The sequence below is a fragment of the Homo sapiens genome, chromosome 2 (assembly GCF_000001405.40).
Source record: "Homo sapiens chromosome 2, GRCh38.p14 Primary Assembly".
NCBI lineage: Eukaryota > Metazoa > Chordata > Mammalia > Primates > Hominidae > Homo > Homo sapiens.
In genome coordinates, this window is record NC_000002.12 from 235,061,513 (window position 1) to 235,071,149 (window position 9,637).

Sequence of the window (9,637 nt, forward strand, 5' to 3'; positions counted from 1 at the left end):
GAGCGTGCCTGTAATCCCAGCTACTCCGGAGGCTGCAGCAGGAGAATTGCTTGAACCTGGGAGGCGGAGGTTGCGGTGAGCCAAGATCGTGCCATTGCACTCCAGCCTAGGTGACAAGAGCGAAGCTCCGTCTCAAAAAACAAACAAACAAAAAAACAGGTTTCAAGTAGCGTTTGGCACCCTTGCCCCTCTGCCCTGCCCGTGAGGACACAGCATTGCTCCCCTTTGATGGTAGCAAGGCTCCGTCTTGGAAGCAGAGAGCAGCCCTCACCAGCCCACGAACCTGCCCAAGCTGTGATCTTGGCCTCCCAGCCTCCAAACTAAGAAATACATTTCTGTTGTCTTGACACCACTCAGCGCTGGGCATTCGTTAGAGCAGTGCAAATGGACTAAGAGAGATGAGAAGACGGGCCAGTGGCGAGCAGCCTGGAATGGCAGACAGGGAGGCAGAGGCCGTGGGACCTTCAGGCAGTGCCTGGCTGGGCCCGAAGAGTCCCAGGAATGGGAAGGCAGACAGAGATGGAGGAGGGAGGGTCAACTCAGTCTGCCGTTTGGCTGGACAGGAGCGGGTTGGGCCAAGAGGCACTGGTGTCCTGAGAGAATGTGGCCTAAGCTGTGTTGAACGGCTTTGCTGTACGTGGGGAGAGGAGGGGTGGAGGCTGTGGTGTGGGGAGAAGCTGAGTAAGACACAGATGGGGGAGCAGGAGGGGAAGCAGATCTAGGACTCGGCTCTGAATGGGAGGATGTAAGGTGTAGCTGGAAGATCATGGACCTGAGGTTAAAGGCCTTTGAGAGACGGCCAGTGAGAAGAAAAGGTGAAAATACGTAGAAACCTGGTCAGCAGCCCCTCATGCATCCACCCATTGAGTTGGTCATTAGGCGTCTGATTCAACTGCCTTCCATCGCTTTTCTTCCCTCGCCACAGCTACTGCTGTACTTCTGTGCACTGTCACCTCTCCCTGTAACTGCAATTCCAGCCTTATCCCATCAGCTGATCCTCCATGGCCCCCAGAAGGGTCCTTCTAAAATGGATTCAGGCCAGGCACGGTGGCTCACACCTGTAATCCCAAGCACTTTGGGAGGCCAAGGTGAGCGGGGCACACAAGGTCAGGAGTTTGAGAGTAGTCTAACTAATATGGTGAAACCCTGTCTCCACTAAAAATATAAAATTAGCTGGGTGTGGTGGTGTGTGCCTATAATCCCAGCTACTTGGGAGGCTGAGGCAGGAGAATCACTTGAACTTGAGAGGCGGAGGTTGCAGTGAGCAGAGATCATGCCACTGCACTCCAGCCTGGGCGACAAGAGCAAGACTCCGTCTTAAAATAAAATAAAATACAAAATAAGTTAAAAATTGGATTCAGGCCAGGTGCAGTGGCTCACACCTATGATCCCAGCACTTTGGGAGGCTGAGGTGGGTGGATCACTTGAGGTCAGGAATTCAAGACCAACCTAGCCAACATGGTGAAACCTCATCTCTACTAAAAGCACAAAAAGTTAGATGGGTGTGATAGCACACTCCTGTAATCCCAGCTACTAGGGAGGCTGAAGTGGGAGGATCGCTTGAACCCAGGAGGCAGAGGCTGCAGGGAGTCGAGACTGTGCCACTGCACTCCAGCCTAGGCAACAGAACAAGACTCTGTCTCAAAAAAAAAAAAAAAAAAAGGATTCATACCCCTCTCCTGCTTAGCCTCTGCCATCAGCAGTCCCCTGGTTTCAGCCGATGAATGGAGGCTCCCAAATGCCAGCTTGGAGGTCATTGTGGGTCCCGATGAAGCTTTCACTGGTACCTGAAAAATGAGAGAAGAAAAGACAGCGCACAGAGGATTTTCATGAGGCCACATTGATGCACATCAAATAACTGTCTCTGATCCTGAGATTAAGCCCTTCACTCCTTTCTCGTGTTAAAATGTCCTATATCCTGGTGACTGAAGGTGACAGGGGATTGTAGTGGCAGGAGTTGTTTTGGTGTTTTAATGCCTCGCTTGGTAAGGTGAAAGGCTGGCCGATAATACATCACACATTGTTCCGGACTTGTGTTGTTGAACACAGGGAGGGAGAAACGGGACGCCTGCCTGCAGCATTTCCATGGCTGTCTGCCCTTGTGGCTATTTCTGCCCTCACTGGGAGGGTGGCCTTTGTCATATCGTCTGTGTGCTCAGCACCTTGGAAACTCTCTCGCTATATTTGGGACCCTTAAAACATAAACTCACAGCTTCCCTAGCAGCTAAATATAAGCGTATGACCAGAGTCCACCACGTGGAGCTTGGACTCTGAGGCTCCGATTCATGCAGAAGGAGGGAAGAGAGCCGGCGGGAGCGTCAGGGCAGCAGTGGTCACGGGGGTGAGCTCCTGACCCGGCCGAGGGTCTGTGGGGGACACACAGCCATGGCAGTTTGCTCTAGTGCCAGGCACGCCCACTGCAGCCACACTTTTGTCACCAGGCCAGTTCTGGACAGGGTTCCTGGAAGCTTAGCACTGAGTGTGGGGCTCAGCTCTCCCAGCCCTACTGTGAATCGCCCAGGTCCCCTTTAATAAGCCCCTTTGGTGAAGAATCAACACTTGGCAATTTTGTTGCCTTCAGATGAACACCTTGACTTCCTGCTCTGTTTACTCCTTCAGGATTCAGCTCTGCAAATCACGCTCCTAGGTGAGTCTTCTCAGATGCTCCCTCTGCGAAAGGTCCTTCCTTTGTTTTCCCATAGCTCTCTGACCTCACCACAAATAGAACTTGAATCTCTCTGTATCACAGCTGAGTCTTTGCCTGGTGTACCCCACAGACTGTGAACTGGACAAGGAGGATGTCACAGCGCTGGACTCACACTCAATAAATTCAACCTCACACTCAATACATTCTTGGATGAATGAAATCTTCAGAGAAATTTCCTCAGGGGCATGGAGGCCAGGTCCCAGTGCCTGAATAGCTTTGTGAGTACCTTGTGGTGCTCCTTTCTTTTTTTTATTGAGATGGATTCTCGCACTGTCGCCTGGGCTGGAGTGCAGTGGCACAATCTCGGCTCACTGCAACTTCTGCCTCCTGGGTCCAAGCGATTCTTCTGCCTCAGCCTCCGGAGTAGCTGGGATTACAGGTGCCCACCACCACGCCTGGCTAATTTTTTGTACTTTTAGTAGAGACGGGGTTTTACTAGGTTGGCCAGGCTGGTCTCGAACTCCTGACCTTGTGATCTCCCCGCCTCGACCTCCCAAAGTGCTGGGATTACAGGCGTGAGCCACCACCCCCAGCCGACTCCTTCTTTCTTAATCTAACAAATACATGTTTTGTGGGTGAATCCAGACCGTGTTCTAGAAAGTTTCATCTCTACTCGTTTTTAGTTTGTTGGTCTTCCCGCTATAATGTTACGTATGTTTAACTCAGCTGAAGCTCACACTTTGGAATAACAAGTGCTTGCTTTATTTTTCACACACCCACATATTTTTCTGCACTCGAAGTGCAAAATCAGTTCACACCCAGGGTGTAGACGATCCCACGTAGGAGAGAATAGCAAGTGTGGGTACGCTTGGTGGACATCTGTAGCCTCAGGTGAGCTTTCTGGGGGTTGAAAGTTCTCTCTGAACAGTCCCCTGACACCTGAGCCAGCCCAAGGCAGGCAGAGGGGGGATAGGGAGGTTGCCTGGCAACTCCAGGAGGCTCAGAGCCATCCTTTTTGTCTAGGAGAGAAAAGATCCAGAGAACTGAGTCACTTACATTTTTTATCCCGAGCCTGGTTAGAACCAACATACACAGAATGAGGAATTTACAGCAAAATTCACACCGACAGATCAGCATAACAACCTGTAACACTGACAGGTACAAACGCAATTCTGTGCCTGTTTATGGGAGTGCTGGACAGCGTGGATTCTTTGCACAGCCAGTGAATTCATAAGTATATTATTATGCATTAAAAATATCTTTAGAAAGTCAGATTCCAGTTCTTCCAGGAGCTTTGTACAACACCTTTACATATTCCTCATTATCACATTTTCCATGGATAGATGAGCTGAGAAATTAAAGACAGGAAAGGGGATGTGTGTTGAGGGACTCAGGGCACTCGACCTACTTAAAAATAATTCACACGGACCCTGGAGATTTACGGATTTTTTCCCAGGACCTGGGAGATAGCTATCATTTTTCAAATATTAGGTTTATACAGAATAAACCATAAATATTAGGTTTATACAGAATATTAGGTTTATACAGAGATATACCAAAGGTTGATGTCACTATGCCAGGCACAAGAATATCAGAACAAGGATAATTTTTTTGCATTCAGAAATTCATATCCAAGCAAAAACAACTCCATTTTCTGTTTGTGACGTGCATGTAACAATATTCCAAAATCCTACTTCAAATATTATTAAAGTACTTTGCTGTAGTCAGGCAGCTTTCTCTCCTTCAATGAAAGAGCTTTGTATGGTTACTCACACTTCACTTCAAACAAAGCAGTTTCTTAGTGTCATTACTAGTATCACTATTTTCAAAATGTCCTAAAAATACGTTTTCTAAGCCAGGCACAGTGGTTCATGCCTGTAATCCCAACACTTTGGGAGGCTGAGATGGGAGCATTGCTTGAGGCCAGGAGTTCGAGGCCAGTCTGGGCAACATAACGAGACCCCATCTTAAAATAAATAAATAAATAAATACATTTTTTAAAAAAATATGTTTTCCTTACATTATTGAATTTTTTTTTTTTTGGCAGTCTCTTTCTTGTTACCCATGCTGGAGTGCAGTGGTACCATCACAGCTCACTGCAGCCTCAACCTCCTGGGCTCAAGTGATCCTCCCACTGCAGCCTCCCAAGTAGCTGGGACCACAGCTGTGTGCCACCACCATGCTCGGCTATTTTTTTTTCTTTTTTAACTTTTAGTGGAGATGAGATCTTGCCATGTTGCCTAGGCTGGTCTCGAACTACTGGCCTCAAGCCATGCTCCTACCTCGAACCCCCTAAGTTCTGGGATTACAAGCATGAGCCATGGCACCCAGCCACATTATTGAAATTTTTATAAAAGTATCTTATTTGGGCATTTTGCAAGTCAGCCAGATCACAACAGAGCTCTGGTTGAAATATAATTATTATCTTGGATTTCCATGTATTTTCTTTCATTCACAGCTCTGAGAGGAGGCCGACTGGCTACCAGCCTAGTAATCTGGAGAAAATGAAAGAATTCCACTATTTAATATCATTCTGAAAACATAGTTGCTGTGACCACTCGTCTGTGTCTTTAAGTGTAGCCCATGGAGCTCCTGAAGAAAACTCAGCAGGAGAAAGCCTGCTAAAAATGCAGCTTCCAAGACCTTCCCAGGCCTCCTGAATCTGATGCCTGTGGAGGCCCAGGAATCTGCAATTTAGCAAGCTTTCCATCGGATTCTTCCGTGTCCTAAAGTGTGAGGACAAGCTCCATTTTTGATTTTTTTGGTAAAATTCTAGACAGAAAAGAAACAAATGACTTCCGTGTCTGGAGAGGAGGGGAGGAGGGGGGATTCTGTTTGTGATTTCTAAATATTTCAGCAGCCACAGCTCCAGCCTCTTCCCTCTGCACCTCCTGGCTTCCAATCATTGTTGGACTTGCAGTCACCTCCTGCTGAACTTTAATTAAAATCCAGGCAGTCGTGTTCAGGGAGCCTGCTTGATGCAGACCACGTGACTGGGACCTGTTGGGCTGCCCCTGCTGAGAGGGATAAAGAAGCCAGCCAGGGCTTAGCAATGGACCCCTCTCTCTACCCAGTGTCTGTCTCAGGCTTTCTGTGCATCACAGAGTGATTTTTTTTTTTTTTTCTGAGACGGAGTTTCGCTCTTGTTGCCCAGGCTGGAGTGTAATGGCGCGATCTCGGCTCACCGCAACCTCCGCCTCCCGGGTTCAAGCAATTCTCCTGCCTCAGCCTCCTGAGTAGCTGGGATTACAGGCATGTGCCACCACACCCAGCTAATTTTTTGTATTTTTAGTAGATATGGAGTTTCTCCATGTTGATCAGGCTGGTCTTGAACCCCCGACCTCCTGTGATCCGCCCGTCTCGGCCTCCCAAAGTGCTGGGTTTACAGGCATAAGCCACCGCGCCTGGCCTGAGAGAGTGATTTTTATCCCCTTGCTGGAAACTCCGAAACAGGACAGCATGTGCCCCTGGCCAGGCTAAGGCCTGGGGCTGACCTGAGGCTATGTGTTCAGGGACTAAGGGCCATGGCTGTTTGGATGGACAGAGGCTCCCTGTCTCTGTGGAAGGTACCACACGGGCAGATCCACAGTCCTCACATCTGGCTGATGCCAATCTTCAGACAGGACTTTGCTCAGGTCCCTTTTGCACACTGGTACCTGTGTAGTAGGCCTCTGTAAGTCCCTGGGAGGTATGCAGGTGAGGTATTCGTGTGTGTGTGTGTGTGTGTGTGTGTGTGTGTCTGTGTGTGTGTCTCCACCAGGTTCAAGGAGGGTTCTGAGACAAGCCCAGTTCCTGGCATTCCTTACCCTGGGCAACACCATGACTACAGAAGCAAAAGCGGCTCCAGTTTTATTCCTAGGCCACCCGGACTAATAACAGCCAAGGCTCACTTAGCACTTACCCTGTGCCCATCACAGTCCTAAGCACTTTAGAGATTTTTAGCTCATTTGACTCTGGCAATAGCCTGTAAAGTAGACAGAATTAACAAAACTGTACGTTCTGCACATGTACCCCAGAACTTAAAGTATAGTTTAAAAAAAAATGAGGCACAGGGGGGTTAAGTAACTTTCCCAAGGTCACACAGCTAGGAAGTGTGGAGCTGAAATCTAAATGCAGCTCCAAGGCTCTAATGTGCGTGCAGTATCCTGCTGCCATCATGCTCAGGTGATAGTTTTCTGAGTCAAAAACCCCAGCAAGAGAAATAAATAGTGACTTAATTCAAAGTGGTAAATAGCAAAAATTGTAATTTCTCACTCCTGACATGAAGAGGACAGTAAGAAGTGGAGAAAGATTTGCCATCGGCTTGATGCTTTTTGTTTTTAATTTCCTTTGGCCAAGCAGATATAATTAGTTTGTATTCTCTCTGCACACTTGGACGGCTGGCATGGAGACAGCCCACAGACCTCCTGAACCAAGAGTGATTTTAAAATTTGCTGCAATGTAAATGTCTATCAATAATGGAGTAGTTAGATAGCTTGCACTACATTTATACAATGGCATCCTGTTCCACCATTAAAAGGGAAAAGGCAACTCTATCATTATTGGTGTGAAAGGCTTTCCAAGATACAATAAGGGGAAAAAAGAGAGCAGTGAGTATAAAATATCTCATTTATAGTGAAAGAAAAAAAATAGAGCTGTACGTGAAGTATTTCTAAAATGACACTCAAGAAACTTAGTGATGGGTTTGCTGGGACCCGCAGATCAACATTTGGAAAAGGACCCAGTTTCCACTGTGTATCCTTTTATGTTGTTTAGCATCTTTCTCAGTGCCAATGTAATTTTCATAATTCTACAGACTTTTTTGTGACAGATAATTTATGAAATGAGAGCAATTTAGAATTGGCTGTAAGTACCGAAGGAATAGAGCAAATATCCCAATTTGCAAAATTAAAAATCAAACAAGTACCTAATTAACATGTTGTTAATCAACAAAGTGGGAATATACAGACAGATAATCAAAACTAATTGTGTATGCCTACAAGACTTTTGCAGCCAGGATCCATGGATGGGCTTTAGGGGGTGTATTAGTCCGTTTTCATGCTGCTGATAAAGACACACCTGAGACTGGGTAATTTATAAATAAAAAGAGATTTAATGGACTCACAGTTCCACATGGCTGGGGAGGCCTCACAGCCATGGTGGAAGGTGAAAGGCACATCTTACATGGCAACAGACAAGAGAAAAAAAGAGAACCAAGCTAAAGGGGTTTCCCCTCTAAAACCATCAGATCTTATAAGACTTATTCACCACCATGAGAACAGTATGGGGGAAACCACTCCCATGATTCAATTATCTCCCGCCAGGTCCCTCCCATGACACATGGGAATTATGGGAGCTATAATTCAAGGTGAGATTTGGGTGGGGACACAGACAAACCATATCAGGGGGTCTATGAAACCCTCAGAATGATGCACAAGTGTTTTGTTAATTTTGGCCTGTGCATCTTCTGAGGAGGTTATCCAGAGTTTTTTATAGATTCTCACACAGGTTTGTGATCCACAAGAGTTTTTAATAGAGTCTCACAGAGGCTCGTGATCCATAAAAGCTTAATAACTATTAGCCTGGAGGTAGGCAAAGGAGGATGTCAGTATATTGTTCAAAGGTTAGTGAGTATTGGTGAGGGACTGTCTCGTACAAAGCTAAACAAAATGAAGGTGTGAGGCCATTAGTCTCCAGAGACCTACTTACTGGCTGTGATGCCCAGGCACACCTTGCCCAGATGTTCTCAGCAAATACACATCAGGCAAAGCACACCCACAACAGGCACCTGCACCTCTACCAGTCTGCAGGATTGCATTCCACAGGCTGCAGCAGGAACCCAACCAAGAGCAGATGTGGCAAAGAAAAGGTTTCATTTTCTCACCTAATGTGTTGTCCAGGGTGGGTGAGCGTCCCTTACTCAGAATGCATAGCCACCCTTAGAGTGTAGCTTTGTCCCACAGTCAAGACAGTTGCTGTACCTCTGGGTGTCAGGTCCATTTTTCAGGCAGGAGGAAGGGGAGGGGGCTCTGCCAGCTCAGTCTCTCTCTTTGTGAAAGGGAAACAAAGACTTTGCAGGTGACTGCATTCAGTGGAATTCTGTTGCATTGCATTAGCAGAGCTGTGCCCCATGGCTGCCCCTGGTTATAGGGAGCCTGGGGTGAGGTGGGGAGGATTGTGTTCACTCATTGGTTACAGTCTAACCATGTACCCCTAGGGGTGCTGCTTGTTGGGAAGAATAGAAGTAGAGAGAAATTATTCAGGCCCCAAGTGGAGTCTGCCATGTATGGCTTTGTTTGCCCTGTGAGCTGGCAAGCACAGATTCCTGGATCAACTGGGGCTAAAAACTGGCCTAATACCCCATTGTGAAGGTGCAGCCAGGGGATATGACTCACAATCTGCATTCACTAGTGCCACTGGAATCTAAGATGAATGTACTGGCATGATTTTTAACTACTCAAGTTTTATTTTGATAAAACTACATGACACAGGTGGAGCAGAGAATGAGTCTGGTGGATTGATGGAGAAAGTGGGAGCTGAATTGACAAGAAATGATCTTGAACCAAATGACCAAATAAGTCTTTAAGAGTGCAGAGAGTGACTGCATGTGGGGCATAAGACTTCCATCTACACAGAGTTCAAGTCGAATGAAGTAAGATCAACTTTATTCCTGTGAGTTTCCTTGAATTTTAACTGAAAGCCTTTTCTATGCAGGATAACTGCATGGATCAACCCCTTTTACAATAGCTGCAAAAAAATAAAATACTTAGGAATATACCTAACCAAGGAGGTGAAAGAGCTCTGCAAGGAATAGTACAAAACACTGCTGAAGGAAATCATAGATGACACAAACAAATGGAAACACATCACATGCTCATGGATGGGTAGAATCAATATTGTGAAAATGACCATACTGACAAAAGCAATTTACAAATTCAACACAATTCCCATCAAAATACCACCATCATTCTTCACAGAATTAGAAGAAAACAATCCTAAAATTCATATGGA

General features: G+C 46.5%; 2 annotated features.

The window, feature by feature from the left end:
• Positions 467 to 967: an enhancer, noted in NCBI's record as "H3K4me1 hESC enhancer chr2:235970623-235971123 (GRCh37/hg19 assembly coordinates)". NCBI's record gives its function as "activates a minimal SCP1, AML or CMV promoter by ChIP-STARR-seq in primed H9 embryonic stem cells {active_cell/tissue: H9 hESC(primed)}" and the evidence as "EXISTENCE:reporter gene assay evidence [ECO:0000049][PMID:30033119]".
• Positions 8,813 to 9,107: a silencer, noted in NCBI's record as "tiled region #6954; K562 Repressive non-DNase unmatched - State 24:Quies". NCBI's record gives its function as "represses a minimal TATA promoter and a strong SV40 promoter by Sharpr-MPRA in K562 cells {active_cell/tissue: K562}" and the evidence as "EXISTENCE:reporter gene assay evidence [ECO:0000049][PMID:27701403]".